Source organism: Homo sapiens, chromosome 7, assembly GCF_000001405.40.
Source record: "Homo sapiens chromosome 7, GRCh38.p14 Primary Assembly".
NCBI classification, from domain to species: domain Eukaryota; kingdom Metazoa; phylum Chordata; class Mammalia; order Primates; family Hominidae; genus Homo; species Homo sapiens.
The window spans coordinates 1976233-1994200 of record NC_000007.14 but is presented as its reverse complement, the minus strand read 5'-3'; the positions used below and the strand labels follow the sequence as shown (position 1 = coordinate 1994200).

The window sequence follows — 17968 nt, the reverse complement described above, 5'->3', positions numbered from 1 at the left end:
TGTGTGCTGTTGCTCACCATGTCATGAGTACACACTTGTTGTTTACACAGATTATCCCCCTGTGATCCTGGCAGCAAACCCACAAGCTGGTTGTGGCCCCAGATACTCAGACGAGGAACAGGGGCAGCCAGGATTAGTGACCTGCCCGTGTTGGCACCGGCAGTGGTGGAGAGTGCTCCAGGGTTCACACCCAGGCAGGCTGACCCCAGACCCTGTGGCCAGGGCAGTTGCAGGGGCTTCCTCATATCAGGCTGTCTGTGAAATCCACCAGGACAGGACCCAGGGCTTTCTGGGGCTCCAGCGTTAGCCCAGGGCCAGGCATTCAGCTGGGGAGTTTAAAGCATCTGCCGAGTGCTGAGTGGGGACAGGTGGGAGGAGGATGCTTCATCTTCCCTCTGTCCCCTTTCCCAGTGTGAGGACCCAGCCTTTTCAGTTTTTACCAGTTTGCAAAGATCTTATGAGAAGATGCTGGTGATTTAATGTCGTTACCTTGTAAGGATCATCTGCATTTTAGAAAAAGTAGCTGAGAAGATGGTTTCTTCGCCCAGAAAATAGATTTCTCAGGCATAATGTCTGAGCCTTGGTTGTAGAGGATTTGGATCCCTGCTTCTCCTCCAAAAAACAGAAGAAAATCTCAGTGCAGAGGGAAGGCGTAAGCTTGTTTTCTATCTGGGCCAGTGCCACAGTGTGTGAGCTAGCAGAGCCTCAGAGTGTGTCTGATACGTCGTGACCTTTGTGTTATTTTCTCTTTCAGAATGATCTTAGATATTCTCCAATGTTTTTTCCGGTAAACTTTAGAGGGAGCTTGCCAAGGTTCCTGCCAGTCCTCTTGCATTGCCTTGGTCTGCGGACTGACATGGGAAGGCAAGCTGGTTGCATTGTGGCTCCCCCAGAAGCCCTGTGCCCTCCCTGCACTGTGGGTCCTGCCCACTGCTTACTAGGGTTATTCCTGGGTGGTTTAGAATCTCAGTCACCTGCATGTCACTGCTGTCTGCACACTTGCCATATGACCCATGGGGGCATCTTTTGGGCGTTGGGGGCGGGGATGAGGAGAAGGTGGGCACTTCAGACTCAGAGCAGTGAAGTCCCCCGTGCATTCCACTCCACGAAACTTAGATCGAGTCTATAATAACCACGAGAAAGGAAATCGGTTCATTTATCTTGAAAAATTATGGGAGTAATTCTGTATAGGGGAAATATAGTACCCTCATCCTAAGTACGAAGCATTTTCCTGTGATTTAAACTTGTCGTGTCTCTGCAGTGGCCCTTTCTGGCTTAAGCTTTTTCTCAGCTACGTGTATCTTCCATAAGCTGATCCCGTTCTGGCCCCAGGCCCACAATGGTGTCACCTGCCCCTGCCCCTGCCCCTGCCGCCTGCCTCCCTGACGTAGAGCCCATGCCATCCTCACATCCACCTGTCCTGGAGACACTGGGACTTTCCCTTGGACTGGGCCGCCTGGGGGCTTGTTTTTGCCTGTGATTCAGCCAGCAGCCCTGGCAGACAGCCTTCCCCAAGCTCCCCCAGCAGAGTTAACTTCCACAGTGAGAGGCTTCACAGGGACAGGAGGTGGCCTCAGATGTCCTAAAAAGGCAGATGTAGGATTGGAGCTGATAGGAGGGAGGGAGGCCCTTTCTGTAGGGAGAACTTTCAAATTCAGGCTTGTTTCTAAGCAGGGGCTCTTTATCCAGCATCCCAGGGCAGGTGCTCAGTTCTCCACAAAGCGCTTGAGGCTGCATACACATTTCCGTTACTTGCACACGTTTTTCTCCAGAGAGCAGTTGCCATCTTCAAAAGGTTTCTGACACCTGTTCCCCTTCCCCAGCGTTAACAACTGCTCCTATTGAGGAGGCAGCCTCATTGATCCCAGTGAAGGTTCTGGAGCCCTTGGAAGCCACATAGAGAGACACCACCCATCTGGCTTCCCAACGCTCCTCCGTGAGTGTAAATGGGGCTGGGTATCCAGCGTGGAAGTCAGAGCAGTGGCGCTCTGGTGGGGCAGGTGCTCAGGCACCCAGCGGTGCTCATGAGGCCAGCAGTGGCGCTCTGGTGGGGCAGGTGCTCAGGCACCCAGCGGTGCTCGTGAGGCCAGCAGTGGCGCTCTGGTGGGGCAGGTGCTCAGGCACCCAGCGGCGCTCGTGAGGCCAGCAGTGGCGCTCTGGTGGGGCAGGTGCTCAGGCACCCAGCGGCGCTCGTGAGGCCAGCAGTGGCGCTCTGGTGGGGCAGGTGCTCAGGCACCCAGCGGCGCTCGTGAGGCCAGCAGTGGCGCTCTGGTGGGGCAGGTGCTCAGGCACCCAGCGGCGCTCGTGAGGCCAGCAGTGGCGCTCTGGTGGGGCAGGTGCTCAGGCACCCAGCGGCGCTCGTGAGGCCAGCAGTGGCGCTCTGGTGGGGCAGGTGCTCAGGCACCCAGCGGCGCTCGTGAGGCCAGCAGTGGCGCTCTGGTGGGGCAGGTGCTCAGGCACCCAGCGGCGCTCGTGAGGCCAGCAGTGGCGCTCTGGTGGGGCAGGTGCTCAGGCACCCAGCGGCGCTCGTGAGGCCAGCAGTGGCGCTCTGGTGGGGCAGGTGCTCAGGCACCCAGCGGCGCTCGTGAGGCCAGCAGTGGCGCTCTGGTGGGGCAGGTGCTCAGGCACCCAGCGGCGCTCGTGAGGCCAGCAGTGGCGCTCTGGTGGGGCAGGTGCTCAGGCACCCAGCGGCGCTCGTGAGGCCAGCAGTGGCGCTCTGGTGGGGCGGGTGCTCAGGCACCCAGCGGCGCTCGTGAGGCCAGCAGTGGCGCTCTGGTGGGGCGGGTGCTCAGGCACCCAGCGGCGCTCGTGAGGCCAGCAGTGGCGCTCTGGTGGGGCGGGTGCTCAGGCACCCAGCGGTGCTCGTGAGGCCAGCAGTGGCGCTCTGGTGGGGCGGGTGCTCAGGCACCCAGCGGTGCTCGTGAGGCCAGCAGTGGCGCTCTGGTGGGGCAGGTGCTCAGGCACCCAGCGGTGCTCGTGAGGCCAGCAGTGGCGCTCTGGTGGGGCAGGTGCTCAGGCACCCAGCGGTGCTCGTGAGGCCAGCAGTGGCGCTCTGGTGGGGCAGGTGCTCAGGCACCCAGCGGTGCTCGTGAGGCCAGCAGTGGCGCTCTGGTGGGGCAGGTGCTCAGGCACCCAGCGGTGCTCGTGAGGCCAGCAGTGGCGCTCTGGTGGGGCAGGTGCTCAGGCACCCAGCGGTGCTCGTGAGGCCAGCAGTGGCGCTCTGGTGGGGCAGGTGCTCAGGCACCCAGCGGTGCTCGTGAGGCCAGCAGTGGCGCTCTGGTGGGGCAGGTGCTCAGGCACCCAGCGGTGCTCGTGAGGCCAGCAGTGGCGCTCTGGTGGGGCAGGTGCTCAGGCACCCAGCGGTGCTCGTGAGGCCAGCAGTGGCGCTCTGGTGGGGCAGGTGCTCAGGCACCCAGCGGTGCTCGTGAGGCCAGCAGTGGCGCTCTGGTGGGGCAGGTGCTCAGGCACCCAGCGGTGCTCGTGAGGCCAGCAGTGGCGGCCCTGGGCACGCTGCAGCCCTGGTGGTGAGGCCCCGGTTCCTCCAAGCACAGCTGCTCTGGTTCTGCAGCGGCCTCATCCCAGGGGCGGTGCATCAGGCGAACATTCGGCCGGGACATGCCCTCCGGCTGGGCTGTTTTTTTCTGAGGAGAAAGCATTTCCCAGCTCAGGCGCACATCTGTGCTCACGAGGAAATGTCTGGGTGAGCCAAGGGGGCTGTCCATGGCCCACAGCGCCTGTGTCTCCTCCAGGCTGGAAAGGAAGCTGGAGAGTGGACTCCACCTAAGATCCCCCCGAGGCCTCCTTAGGAAGCCACAGCCACTCCAGAAGCCTTCCTGGTGCCAGAGGGTGCAGAGTTGAGCGGAAAGGTGGCCTCTGGCCAGGATGCCCAGCTGTGACCTCAGCACCCTCTCATCTCTTGGAGACCTGGAGCCTCTGCCCCAGTCAGCCCCAGGGAGCCCTGGGATGTGAGCCCTCACCTTGCAGCCAGGGTTCTGTGAGGCTCTGGGCCTCAGCCTCACCACCTCCCGGGCACAGGTTGCAGCTGAGACTCAGCGATGCCACGTGAGTTGGCGATGAGGCGGCGGGTGCACGCGCATGTGGACGCCCTCACTCTGGCACTCAGCGGCAGCCTCGTTAATTAGAATTGCGGTGGGGGGAGTTACCCAGCTCCTCCTCTTGTTATTAGTTTGTGGCATTAGGGAAGGCCCCTGGGAGCACACCCTGCATCTTCCCAAATTAAACCGAATGCAAGGTCTCTATTTAAAGGTTATGCTGCGCTAGTGAGTTTGCCACAAGGACCATTAGCATGAATGTTTCATGAAGGTTGGGGCTATGAGTGGATCTGGTAGGCCAGGCCTGTACTCCAGGAGGGAGGGACCTTGTAGGCAGAGGAACATGGGGCCAGCCGGCCTACACTGAGGCTGGGCCATGCCGAAGCCGGGCCACGCTGGGGCTGATCCATGCTGAAGCCAACCTGTGCTGAGGCTGATCCATGCTGAGGCTGGTCCACGCTGAGGCTGGTCCACGCTGGGGCTGGTCCACGCTGGGGCTGGTCCACGCTGAGGCTGGAGCGCTGCCGGGACGTCTGTGCTCGCGCTCAGGCTGCTCTCCCAGGGTCCCCACACCTGTTCCAGTTTGGGTCTGGGCAGCGCACATGCTGCTGTGCGAGCTCCGTCTTCCAGGGTGAGGCGGCTCCCGCCGCCGAGGGCTCCCAGCCCGTGCCTGGCTTTCTGCTCCCCTCTCCCTGTCGGCCCCACCGGAGATCAACAGGTTGCTTCATCTCAGTCAAACATACAGTTGAGTTCCGTAAATGAGACCAAAATCTGTTTCTGTGAGATAAAATTGATAAACCTCTAGCCAGACTAATCGTAACTAAGAGGACACAAATGAACGCTCCTGGGCGTGAGAGAAGTGACAGTGGTGCCGCCATTTTCCACGTTTCGTTAGAGCCGTCCTGGCGGGTGTGAAATTTTCCACGTTTCGTTAGAGCCGTCCTGGCGGGTGTGGAGTGGCTCCCGTGGCTTTGTTTGCGTTACCCTGAGGCCAGTGGTCCTGAACTTCACCCTGTGCTTATCAGCCACGCATCTGTCTTCTCTGGAGAAGTGTCTGCCCCATCCATTGCCCACTTTGTAAATGGGTTGTTTTGTTGGTTAGTGGTAAGTCTTCATGTGTTCTAGACACTAGACCCTTCTCAGGTATGTGATATAAGGGGCTCCTGTGAGGCAGCCCAGGAAGGGCTCTCAGTCTTGCTGGGCATCAGGGCCTTGTCAGGGAGGAGATGGCCATCTGTGGGCCTTGGGAAGGGGCATGGAGGGGCCAGGCACACGTGGCCCTGCCTCCTGCAGCCTGGTGCGGGCACAGGGTTTGGCCAGAGAGAATGATTTCCACAGGATAGGCTCAGTGCTAGGACTGCCCGGAGCACACGCAGGGCCCCTGGAAGGCAGCCCTGGCCGCCGGGAATCCTGTCCTCCAGGCTTTTGCCGTGGGATCACGGCCCTTCCCAAGAAGTCTGCCTGTGGCGCTGCCCTCCCCAGCCACGCTGTGCGCCTGGGCCACCCTGGAGCGCGGCCGGGTCCTCCAGAGAGTCCGTCAGGGACTGTGCTGCTGCTTCACAGCCACCGTGACACAGGCATGAGGGAGTAAACACAGAAAACGAAGTTTTAGGTACTGAGTGCTCTGTGCCTGGGCCAGGCCCAGAGCAGTGTCTTGTCCCCAGGCCTGGCTTTGGAGGGCTTCCCTGCCCTGTCACTGCATTGGTGGGGCCCTGATCTGTCTGCGCTGAAGTCTTGTAGGCTGGGCGCTCCACAAAGTGCCTGGGCCTCAGGTCCCTGTGGTGGGGATGGCTGGGCTGCTGTGTGCCACCTGAACGGGGGACGGCCGGGCTGCTGTGTGCGCTGCCTGATGCAGCGGCAGAGTTGCCCCTGGGAGGTGTGGGAGGTGAGTCTTGCTCTGTGACCATTGGATGAATAATGAATGGGCCCTCCGCCATGTCAGGAAGCGTTCAGCAGGGCCCTCTCCTTGTCCCCAGCGCCCTCTTCCTGGATCCCACCTTCCCACCCGTGCTTCCGCACGCTGCTCCATCTACCTGCTACTCCTTTTCTTCTGGGTCTCCCCTCCCTCACGGGCCTCCTGCCGCTCCTCGCCTCTCATGGGCCTGCCCCGGGTGTGAGTAGGTGTTCTACAGGTCCTCGGTGAGGATGCCTCCTAGGGGCCTGCCTGACTTCCTGCCAGCTCAGCCTCCTCCCTAGGCTGTAGGCTGCCCCAGAGATCGGAGCTTCAGACATGGTCCCGTGCCTGGGAGCCCGGGTTTCCCACCCAGGGACAGGTGGTGGTATCCCCGTCGTCACGGTGAGGGCTGGAGGCACAGGTGCCTGTGAGTTACCTCTGAGAACGCTGCTGCCCCGGGCCTGTGCCCTGCCAGCGAGTCCCACAGGTCCTCACAAGGAGCCCTCTGCACCCTCCACTCTCGGCTGCCGAGCCCGCAGGAGAAAAGACGTGGAGCCGGGGCTGCCGGGCGGCCGTGGCCCTGCCGTGCGGGCCCGGCGGCTGGGCGAGGGCACTGCAGTTGGTGCCGAGAGCACCCCGGGACCATCCTCGCATTTGCTCTTCCCCCACCTGCCTCTCCCCCCCTCCCCGATGGCTTTCCTTCCCTTAAATACTGATATGTCTACACGGCTTCTCAAATTGGCGGACAGCAGAGCAGACTCCGGGGCTTGTGTGCTCAGCATGGGCGGCTCTCTTCGCTTCATCCGGGATACTTAGACCCGCCCCAGTACCTCCCCGTTCCGAGCTCGGCCGCACACACGCTGGACGTGCCTGGGAAGTGGCCATTGCCGCGTCTGTGCCCACCATCTGCCCACCCGTGTGCCCGTCCAAGCACCGACTGTGTGCCAGGTTCTGTGCTGGCAATGGGGCCCTACATGGTTACCACGTCTCCTCCAGGGAACGTCCCATCCAGTGGGGAGGAGAGTCACGTGCCCAGTCACCATGTGGTGTGGTGGAGTAGAGGGTGCGGTCACAGAGGAGTGGGGGTGGGCACTTCCAGCTGGCAGGGGAGGGGTGAGGGAGCTGCCAGGACAGATTGTGGGGAAGGCGGCATTTCCACTGGATCTAAATGGTGGATGGGAGCGGGGGGTGTAGGTGGAAGGTGGCCCACAGACATGGATCATGGGTCTGGCCCTCTGTGGCTACTGTCCTGTGCCATGGGCCTGGAGGGGGATGTAGGGGTGAGAGCTGGCCTGGCGGGGAGGTGCAGGGTGGGTGGAGGACCTGCAGCATGGCTGGGGGTGTCGGGCACAGGCTCAAGGGGGCAGGCATTGGCTACTCTGAGAATACAGTTGGGAGCTTACTTATGAGTCTAAGGTTACACATTAAAATAAAAGGGCTTGATTTTTTGCTCTGAACATTGTGGCACACGTCAGCATTTCCCCCTTGTTTCCTGGAAATCATCTACAAATAACAAGAAGCGTGAAAACCAAAATGGCACTTAAATTTTGACAAAACAGAAATGCAGCTGCAAACCAAGCCCCAGGCAGAGGCAGGAAGCCCGTGGTGCAGGAGAGTGCAGTGAGCAGACGCAGTGAGCAGACACATCCCCGGGGAAGCCTGGAGCAGTGCGGGTGGAGGCAGCTCCATGAGGGAGCCGCGGAGTAGAACCCCCTTGCCGGCGCGAGGGAGCCGCGGAGTAGAACCCCCTTGCCGGCGCGAGGGAGCCGCGGAGTAGAACTCCCTTGCCGGCGTGAGCCCTTGCGAGAGGCGGCCCCTGACCCTGGCTCCGCAGTGCGGGGGCCGGCGGCAGCTGGAACGGGGGTCCCTGGACTGGCGTGTGGTTCCAAGCTGGACTGGCGTGTGGTTCCAAGCTGGACTGGCGTGTGGTTCCAAGCTGCAGCAGAGGTTGGTGCTGAGCTGAGGGGTCACACAGGTGCATCACACGTACTTGAAGCCGCATCTGTGGCAGACAGAACATTTGCTCTTAGGAAAACTCACGGTGTCCTTTCTCTCCTGCCGGAGGGAGCTACTGGGGGCTGATTGGACTCGCAGCAAAACTGTCACTGGATTTCAGATAAAAGGAAGCAGGCCTGTCCTTCCCCACTGTGAACCTGTGCACGGAGCCGGATTCAATAAAACTCATCTTCAGCAGTGAGCAGTAAAGGTTACTCCATGCATTTGTGTTAGAGCAAAGGAGAAAAAGAACAAAAACAAGTGGCAGAAAAAGTTTCACAGAAAAACGGTGGACATTGAGCAGATGAAAATTCTATCCAGACATTTTGCCAAGAAACAAAAGTTAACGAGGCGGTAGAGTCTGTGAGGCTTGGGCGGAACGCACACGCTCCAAGAAGAGACGGTGAGGCCGGGGGTTGCATGAGACAGGACCCGGAGGGTCTCAGAGCAGGAGAGGGGGCAGTAGGGGGCAGTACAGGAAGGAAGGTGACCGGATGCACGGGGAGGCGAATCACGGGGAAAACTACCTAAAGAACCCGCAGCAAGAGTTCCATCTCCTGAATTGGAAGATGAAGTGAATGTGGAAGCCTGGAAATGTAAGTGCTACATGTCATGTATTCAAAAAGAAGTGTCAGGATGGCAGAGGGAGGAGAGAACATGAGGATGGCGGCTTCGCTGTTGAGAGCCGAAGACACAGACACACCATCTAAAGGTAGTATCAGGTGGGGAGAGCAGATCGAGCTGCATGTTAGGCTCCCTAGAGCACCAGGTGCGGTAGACTGGTCTATCCCGAGAGAGTGACTGTGAGGCCCTCGCTCTTGGCCATGGAGCCAGGATCCCGTGGTCTGCATCTGTGCACAGCAGACCTGGAAGAGCCTGTGCTGTGCCCAGTCCGCTCTGCAGGCCTGAGAACCAGCGGAGCCTGTGGTGAAAGCCCCAGTCCTGGGCGGAAAACGGGAGCTGCCCCGCTCAGGCCACCAGGCAGGCAAGGGAGGAACGGTCGCCTCCTCCAGTTTTCATTTCATTCCGGCCTCAAGGGGTTGGAGGAGGCCTACCCATGCTGCCCGGGGCCGTCTGCTGAGTCCCCGATTCAAATGCTGATCTCATCCACAAACCCTCCCAGACACACCCAGAAAGTGTTTTGATCTGAGTACCCCAGGTCCTGTCCAGTGGACACATGGAATGAACCGTCACAGACTATAAAGTTCAACAGGGAGGATGATGTATCTGACTAGTTAGGCACCCAACATAGGAGATACAGTAGGTACTGTCTAGTAGGAAAGTATCGGTGTGAAACAAAGCTGAGTTATAAAAGCAACCAGGGTAAAACATGCACACTTTTCTAAGCCTCGAGAGAATTACACGCAAAAAAGTAAACTAGATTAAAAAGGCCACAGAATGAGATAGATGTAAAAGCTACAAAATCGAAAGCATAACAACATAATACAACAGAAATAGACACAAATCCAGTTATAGTTGGACTAAACTCTCCTATTAAAAGGAAAGGACTTCCTGATTGGATTGCAAAGCAAAACCAAACATGTTGGAAAGTACGGGAAGCAAAGGCATCCTGGTGAAGTGAACCTGGAAAGCAGGAGCTATGATCTCCATGCAGTGTGAGTTCAAGCCAGAAGCCGCTCAGAAACAAAGGTGGGCGCTTTTCACAGTGAGGTTCAGATGGGTTAGCCAAATAACACATCACCGCTGTTGGGAAAAGCAGAAATGAGGAAAGATTCAAGGCGAAATTGTCAAAGATGCCAGTAGCAGGATTTATGTCCTAATCTGCGATATAGCAAGTGGGCAAAGAATAATGGAAAACAGAAAAATACATATGTGCGTAAAACCCATATCCCCCAAATTAGAGAATATACTCATGTTAAAAGGAGTGCATAGAAAACATTCACAAAGATTAATTGTGTATTCGGTAATAGAGAAAGCCTTTATAAATTAAAATAAGTAGAACTAATACAACTTCTTGTGATTGCAGTGTGATGTGAAATCAAGAACAAAATCAGGGAAAAAAAAGCTCCTAACACTTGGAATTTAAAAAACAAAACCCAAACAGAACAAAACACTGTGTCTTAAACAATTCTTGGTTCAAAGAAGTACGATTCAAAAGTGCATAAGATGTAGAAAATAATTGTCATGAAAACACTTCTCATCAGAGCCTGTGGGAACCACCTAAATTCACAAGTTTAAATATTTATATCATTGAACAAGAAAGCATGTAAATATATGGATTAAACCTTCAACCCAAGAAGTCAGAGAACAAAAGGAAAGTAAACCTTAGTGAAACAAAAAGGTAGGAATTTGTAAAGATCAAAGCAGAAGTTAATAGGAAAGTGAAAAATGGTAGAAATAATAAATAAGTCCAAATACCTGTTATTTGAAATAAAACCAATAAAACATATGAATTATTCACAGTTCTAATAAAAAATTGATAGAAAGTATCACCATCCAAAATAGGAAACAAGACTAATTACCTGGAGCTATTGACTGAGCAGGAGCATGCGAGAGCTTTCAGGCGTGCTGAGAATTCTGTGTCCTGATCTGGACGGTGGATACGTAGGTGAAGACATGTATAAAAAGCCATCAGGCTGTGCACATAAGATTGAGAAGTTTACTGCGTGTAAATTATGTATACCTCGATGGGAAAGAAAAGCAAAAATTAAAAAATTGAGAATTATGAGTTTTGTCTGATTTCTATAAAAAGAATTATGAATTATATCTCAGTTCCATTTTAATAAACTTAAAAATCTGTGGGAAATGAATGACGTTTTAGGGAAATGTTACCTATCAATCCCAACTCCAGAAGAGAGAGAAATTTTAAACAGATCAATTACTGTAGAAAAACGTTGTCCCAAAATTGCCATGGCTGCTCTCCCCCACCACAAGAGGAAAGAAACAGAAGATGCATCAGGCCAAGCCAGTTTCATGGGAAAATTCTACCAGATCTTCAAAGCGCAGATACTTTGAGCACTGTGTAAACCAGTTCAGACTGTGGGAAAAGGAGGGGAAGGCATTCTGGAAGTGTTGTATTGACACCAACAACTGCAAAGGCCTTACAAGCCTGTGTGTGTGTGTGTGTGTGTGTGTGTGTGTGTGCGCGCGCGCGCGCGCGCGCGCGTCTGTGGGTGTGTGTGCGTGTGTGCACGTGTGTGTGTGTGCATGCACGCGCATACGTGTATCAGTGTCATTGTTAACATGTCACGAGTGAAATTCAACAGCAGGTTGAAATACATCATATGCAGTAAGATTTATTCCAGGACCAGCCTGTCAGCTTGATTTTAGGATATCAATTTATAGAATACCCTCTTCATGGGGGCGTTTGACAAAATCCAACACTCAGCCTTGATTAAAAACTCTTAATAAAATAGGAATATATGGGTAATTTCTCACTGTGATAGAAAATACCTATTTGAAAAAAAAGGTCATGTGCTGTAAATAAGAAAGTATTGGCTTCAGCTCCAGTGAAGCCACAGGCCACCTAAGGATGTCCAGTATCACAACTGTGATTTCGTATTATTCTGGAGATACTAGTCATCCAAAGTAGACAAGGGAAAGAAACCCAAGGTATCAATATTGGGAAGGAGGAGGAAAATTGGAAAATCGTCCCTCTTTGCTGCTGATAAGATTATGTGCCAAGAGAATCAACTGAGAACTGCTGCTGTCGGTCGGAATTTAGTGAAGGGGGCGGGAAACAAAAATTTAAAATCACGTATACAAAGATAAGTTAGAAAGAAGAAGAAAAGGCTGGGCGCGGCGGCTCACGCCTGTAATCCCAGCACTCTGGGAGGCTGAGGCAGGTGGATCACTTGAGGTCAGGAGATCGGGACCAGCCTCACCAACATGGTGAAACCCCGTCTCTACTAAAAATACAAAAATTAGCTGGGCTTGATGGCGTGCACCTGTAATCCCAGCAACTTGGGAGGCTGAGGCAGGAGAATCGCTTGAACCTGGGAGCTGCAGTGAGCTGAGATGACACCACTGCACTCGAGCCTGGGTGACACAGCGAGACTCTGTCTCAGAATATATATGTATATTTATGTATATATTTTTATATTTTATATATATAGTGAAAAAAAGCAAGGTACCAAATGATGTGTAGGACATCTTACCATTTTTGTTAAATAAAATGAAGTGTGGTGGGAGGAAGAACATAGACATGTTGCTGGCATGCGCACCAGCAGCCTCCGGAAGGAACATATGCTCAAACCTCAGAACGTTGGCTGGCTGAGAGTCGGGGGCCTGGGGCGCTGGGGTTGGAAGTTGGGGACAGGCTGCTCAGGGCATGGGCATCCGTGTTTGTTGTCTGAACTGTGGATCTTTCTTTTTAATGGACCCATGATAATTGTATATATTTATGGGGTACATAGTGATGTTTCAGTACATGTAACATATGGTGATTAGATCAGGGTAATTAGCATATCCTGCCCTGTTGCACACTGTGCACCCCCTGCCCCAGTGCCTTTTTTCCCAGGCTCCTGCTGGCCCCCAGCCCAGGGGGTGTTGTCCCCCTCACATCATTCCACCCTGGGTGTCTGGCAGGCTTTGCAGCTTCACTGCTGGGGGCCTCCGGCTGCCGTGGTACCTGCTGGCACCTGTCCTTCCCTCCCTGAGGCCACACTGCCCTTCCTCCTCCCTTCGTGACGGAGTGAGCTGGGCTTTGGAGTGGGTCAGGACTGGTGGGAACAAGGTTCTGACTTGGGCCAGGGGCAGGATTTACCTCCCTAAACCCATCGGATCCTGTCCATGAGACACCCCAGGAGTGGTGAGGGGCGTCTCTGGGTGGGCCTTCCTTAGCACCCCCGGGCCCTGGAGCTGGTGCCTACGTAGCCCCTCAGCCTGCGCCAGCCTGCCTGACCAGGCCCCCGTCTGTGCCCTGCTCTTCCTTGAGCCCGCAGTCCGTTCTGGCTCCTGGCCTCCCCACCGTCTGCTGCCCCTGATGCCTCCCACCCTAGGTGTGTAGGGGCGAGTTAGAATCCACACTCCTGGCCGGGCACACCGGCTCACGCTTGTCATCCCAGCACTTTGGGAGGCGGAGGCGGGTGAATCACCCGAGGTCAGGAGTTCGAGACCAGCCTGGAGAACACAGTGAAACCCCATCTCTACTAAAATACAAAAAATTAACCAGGCGTGGCAGCACGCGCCTGTAGTCCCAGCTACTCAGGAGGCTGAGGCAGAAGAATCACTTGAACCTGCGAGGTGGAGGTTGCAGTGAGCCGAGATTGTGCCACTGCACTCCAGCCTGGGTGACAGAGCGAGACTCCATCTCAGAAAAGAAAAACAGAATCCAGGCTCCCTCCCGGGCGGTGCAGCATCTCACGCTGTTCTGTAGAGGAATTGGAAGTAGCGGAATAAACGACGGCTTGTGGCTGTTAAACCAAACCGACGGCAGCGTTGGAGCGTGCTCTCTCCCCAGCTGCGTGTCCACTCTCCAGAGACTCTCACATGCACCCCACACACCTCACCGTGAGCCTGTGCATCTGTTGCTATTCAGGAGATGGAAGTGACAAAAAAATGAGAGAACTTGAGTTTGCAAAGTTAGAGTGCTGTCTGGCCTGGCAGCTTCAGGCTTCCAGGAGAGAGGTCTCTCCCGCAGCTCCCAGCCCAGGGCGGGGGTGCTGCCAGGGGTGGTCTCAGGGGCCTGGGCTGGGGTTCCCCACACACCTGGGTGCGCTCGTGTCTGCTGACCCTCTATCCTTTGCTTTCTCCTAGCTGGAGATGGAGCTGAAGATGCTGAAGTCTCAGTCCAGCTCTGCCGAACAGAGCTTCCTGTTCTCCAGGGAGGAGGCGGACACGCTCAGGTACGTCCCCCAGAGAGGAGGCGGACACGCCCAGGTGTGTCCCCCAGAGAGGAGGCGGATACGCCCAGGTGTGTCCTGCGGGGGAGGAGGCAGATACGCCCAGGTGTGTCCTGTGGGGGAGGAGGCGGATACGCCCAGGTGTGTCCCACGGAGGAAGAGGCGGACGTGCTCAGGTGTGTCCTGTGGGGTGGGGGGAGGTGGGCACGCTCATGCGTGTCCCCCAGGAAGGAAGTGGACATGCTCAGGCGTGTCCCCCAGCGGGGAGGTGCGCACGCTCAGGTGTGCCCTTTCCAGAGGAGGGGAGTGCGGGAGACACGTCCACCGGCAGCCTCCTGTCCCCCTCTCCAGGCCGTGACCTTCTCTGTGTGCTCCCCCGTGGGTGGCTGGAGTAAAGTCTTGCTCCTCTGCTGCCTTCCTGGAAGGGCTTTTCTTTGTAAGTCCCATCCCATCCACCTAGGTTCCTCTCTGCAGGGACACTCGTCTCTGCTGGTGTGGCCCTTTCTTCAGCAGCACTTCTCCAGCCAGCACTGACAGCAGGGGTCTCTCAGTGTCCCTGACGCTCAGAAGGGAGCAGGTCCTCCATCAGGGGGCGGCGCTGGAGCCGGGTCTGCAGCCGCAGGGGCTGCATGGCAGTGCTGTGCCGAGATGGCTGCACGGGAGTGTGGCTCAGAGCAGAGCCCAGGCAGTGCAGCAGCCAGGCGTGTCCAGCAGCCCTTGGGCTCCGCTTCAGACATGCTGCCAGCTCTCTGCCACTGCACTGTCCTAGGCCACCCTCACCCCAGCTCCTGCTTGCACACGGCGCCCCTAGAGCAGGGTCTGCAGGCCGGGCTGCTTTTCTAGAGCTCTCTGCCTCTCCCCCGCCTTGTGGACCCATCAGGGTCCTCAGGCAAGAGGTTTCCAGGCAGATGCAGGTGGAGCTCCGGGCTCCGCTTTGGTGCCTGTGTTGGCGCTGCCCCATCCAGTGCGGATTGAAAGTGGCTGTGGGGCAACCCGAGTATCCTGCCAGAATCCAATGTGGGAGGCGGTGGCTGTGGGCACAGGGTGGGGTGGCAGGAGGCCCATGGCTTTCCTGCATTGGCCACTCCTCTGCTCTGAGTGTCTGCAGCAGGCCAGGCCCTGGGCATCCAGGGTTTCTCCTGGTCATCAGAGGAACTGAGAACAGGGGACTGAGACAGCTCCAGGGGACATCAAATGGCCCTGCAGTGAGATGGGGGTGGCAGTGGGGAGAGAGCACCCTTCCTAGGCCACACAGCTTTGGTGTGTGGGCCCCTGGACCCCCCGCGGCAGCAGCCTCTGCTTCGTCCGTCACACCCACTCCCTGGGGTTCCAGTTTTCACCTGTGGATGGCCCCTCTTTCTCAGGGTTGCCGAGAGTAAAGCAGGAAAAGGGCTGCCTTTAGTGTGGCCCCGGCCCAGGAAGTGCTCTGCACATGGCAGCTATGATGCCTTCTAGATTCGATGTTCCTCCAGCGTCTCTGAAGCATTCCTCATGCATGGGCTGTGCCTTACACATCGCCCTCTCTGGGATCTGCCGGAGTCTGAGCGGTTTCATTTACATCTGCTCAGCCGTTCAAGTGTTCAGATACTGAGTGTGTGCCGTGGCGTCCTTAGGGCCGAGCATGGAGGCTGATGGAGTGGTGAGTGGGCCCCGACGCGCTCTCCGTCTTCATCTGCGTCTCCATGTCTCGGGGACCTGGGGGCCATTCTTCACCTAGAGGCTCTGTCGTTACAGCCTGTGAGGTGCACGTGGTCCTGTGACAGTGGATGTCTCCCCCTGGAAGTGCGTCTGCGTGTGGTCTTCGGGTTGATGGGGTTGGGGGCTGTGTGTGAGTGTGGGTGTGGGGTGGGGGAAGCTGGAGACCGGGCAGGTGCCATGGTGAGCATGCAGTCTCTTTCCTAGCAGCAGTGGGAGGCACTAGAGGCTTTAAAGTGGAAGAATGTGACTGGAGAAAGCACTGGCTGCCAGGCCTGGGGAGGGGAAGGAGAGTGGCAGAGGGGCCGTCCCCACCACCTGCTCACCAAGCATTGGTGCTGGGAGCCCCTCCGAAGCCGGAGTTGGCTTTTCCTTTGCAGAGATGAGCAAAATATGCCTCCCACACACACCCTGACTTGCAAGAGCAGCCCCACCTGGGGAGAAAGACCCTTGCCACACAGAGCAGCGGGCCTGGAGGCCTCGGAGAGGGGGTAGTGTGTAGTGAGACAGAAGGAATGGCCCAGAAGGGCAGCCCAGGCAGGTCAGGAGCTCACCAAGGCCAAGGCTGGATGACGTGCCAGACAGGCTTCAATGTGTGTCTGCAGTGAGAGGGGGAGCTGGGACCAGCAGCAGAGGCCACACCTTGTCATCATGGAGAAAGGGCCTCTGGAGGCACGCGGGCGCAGGGGGAGAGGCCGTGCACAGCAGCGCATCGGGAAGGTCTGGGCTGGTGTGGCTGGTGCCTGACCCTGCAAGGTCCTGAATGCCACGCGAGGCAGGGTGGTCTCCACCGTTGTCCTCCAGTCCCCAGGAGCCACGTGGGAGGTGGTGGAGTAGGTTCTTAAATCTGGGGAGTTGCAGCTGTGGCTTCCAGCATCTGTGAAGGTTTCAGGAAGGTCAGCGTGTCCCGGCCCGTGGCTGCCCACGCAGGAGCCTGCGTCACGCTGCACGGCTCCCCGCTCTCTGAGATGGCACTCTGCTTTCTGCTGGGCCTTTTGGCACCTAGAACCTCTCGTTCTGCAGTTGATGGGAGCATGGCCAGGCGTGTGTCAGATTTGTGTGGGCTGGCATGCTTGGGGTTTATTCATTTTTACAATTTAAGAAAAGGCCTTTATCATTGATATCTTTTACATCAAGGTCAAAGCTTCTCGTCCCCACCATTTTGTTTGGAGCCCTTCAGCCTGCCACTGCACTGTGGGAGCCCCTCTCTGGGCTGGCCGAGGCCGGAGCCGGCTCCCTCTGCTTGCGGGGAGGTGTGGAGGGAGAGGCGCAGGCAGGAACTGGGGTTGCGTGCGTGGTGCTCACAGGCCAGTGCGAGTTCTGGGTGGGCGTGGGCTTGGCGGGCCCCACACTCCGAGCAGCTGGCCAGCGTTGCCGGCCCCGGGCAGTGAGGGGCTTAGCACCTGGGCCAGCAGCTGCGGAGGGTGCACTGGGTCCCCCAGCACTGCTGGCCCATCTGCGCTGCAGTCGAATTCTCACTGGGCCTCAGCCGCCTCCCCGTGGGGCAGCGCTTGGGACCTGCAGCCCGCCATGCCTGAGCCCACACCCACCCCCAGCCGTGGGCTCCCACGCAGCCCAGCCTCCCCGACGGCGCGGCCCCCTGCTCTGCGGCGCCTGGTCCTATTGACCACCCAAGGGCTGAGGAGTGCAGGCGTGTGACGTGGGACTGGCAGGCAGCTCTGCCCCCAGCCCGGCGTGGGATCCACTGTCGGAAGCCAGCTGGGCTCCTGAGTCCGGTGGGGACTTGGAGAAATTTTATGTCTAGATAGAGGATTGTAAATGCACCAATCAGCAATCTGTGTCTAGCTAAAGGTTTGTAAACGCACCAGTCAGTGCTCTGTGTCTAGGTAATCTGGTGGGGACTTGGAGAGCTTTTATGTCTAGCTAAAGGATTGTAAATACACCAATCAGCACCCTGTGTCTAGCTCAAGGTTCGTAAATTCACCAGTCAGCACTCTGTGTCTACCTCAAGGTTTGTAAATGCACCAATCAGCACTCTGTGTCTAGCTAAAGGTTTGTAAACGCACCAGTCAGCACCGTGTCAAAACAGACCAATCAGCTTTCTGTAAAATGGGCCAATCAGCAGGAGTGGGTGGAGCCAGATAAGGGAATAAAAGCAGGCTGCCAGAGCTAGCAGCGGCAACCCGCTGGGGTCCCCTTCCACGCTGTGGGAGCTTTGTTCTTTCACTCTTCGCAGTAAATCTTGCTGCTGCTCACTCTTTGGGTCCGCACTGCTTTATGAGATGTAGCACTCACCACGAAGGTCTGCAGCTTCACTCCTGAGGCCGGCAAGACCACGAACCCACTGGGAGGAACGAACAACTCCAGACGTGCTGCCTTAAGAGCTGTAACACTCACCATGAAGGTCTGCAGCTTCACTCCTGAAGCCAGCAAGACCACGAACCCACCAGAAGAAAGAAACTCCGAACATGTCCGAACATCGGAAGGAACAAACTCCAGACACACCATCTTTAAGAACTGTAACACTCACCATGAGGGTCCACGGTTTCATTCTTGAAGTCAGTGAG

General features: G+C 56.7%; 1 protein-coding gene and 1 long non-coding RNA gene across 6 annotated transcripts in view, besides 2 other annotated features; one reads left to right on the top strand and one right to left on the bottom strand.

Moving 5' to 3' along the window:
- The window catches only part of MAD1L1 (mitotic arrest deficient 1 like 1), a 417151-nt gene that overhangs the window by 238745 nt on the left and 160438 nt on the right, over window positions 1-17968 (top strand). For all 5 annotated transcript variants that reach the window (NM_001304524.2, NM_001304523.2, NM_001013837.2 and 2 more), the window contains one exon: window positions 13660-13748. In NM_001304524.2, coding sequence (NP_001291453.1) covers window positions 13660-13748 — 89 coding nt within the window. The remainder of the gene's footprint in view (window positions 1-13659; window positions 13749-17968) is intronic.
- Window positions 7862-13692, bottom strand: LOC124901573 (uncharacterized). The gene is made up of 3 exons (XR_007060190.1): window positions 13612-13692; window positions 10425-10538; window positions 7862-7948 (listed from the first exon to the last, which is right to left on the bottom strand). It is a non-coding gene; the product is annotated as an uncharacterized LOC124901573 (long non-coding RNA).
- Window positions 13238-14437: an enhancer, noted in NCBI's record as "MED14-independent group 3 enhancer chr7:2019399-2020598 (GRCh37/hg19 assembly coordinates)". NCBI's record gives its function as "activates an origin of replication core promoter dependent on BRD2, BRD4, P300/CBP and CDK7 cofactors, and independent of MED14, by STARR-seq in HCT116 cells {active_cell/tissue: HCT116}" and the evidence as "EXISTENCE:reporter gene assay evidence [ECO:0000049][PMID:35650434]".
- Window positions 13392-14043: an enhancer, noted in NCBI's record as "H3K27ac-H3K4me1 hESC enhancer chr7:2019793-2020444 (GRCh37/hg19 assembly coordinates)". NCBI's record gives its function as "activates a minimal SCP1, AML or CMV promoter by ChIP-STARR-seq in primed H9 embryonic stem cells {active_cell/tissue: H9 hESC(primed)}" and the evidence as "EXISTENCE:reporter gene assay evidence [ECO:0000049][PMID:30033119]".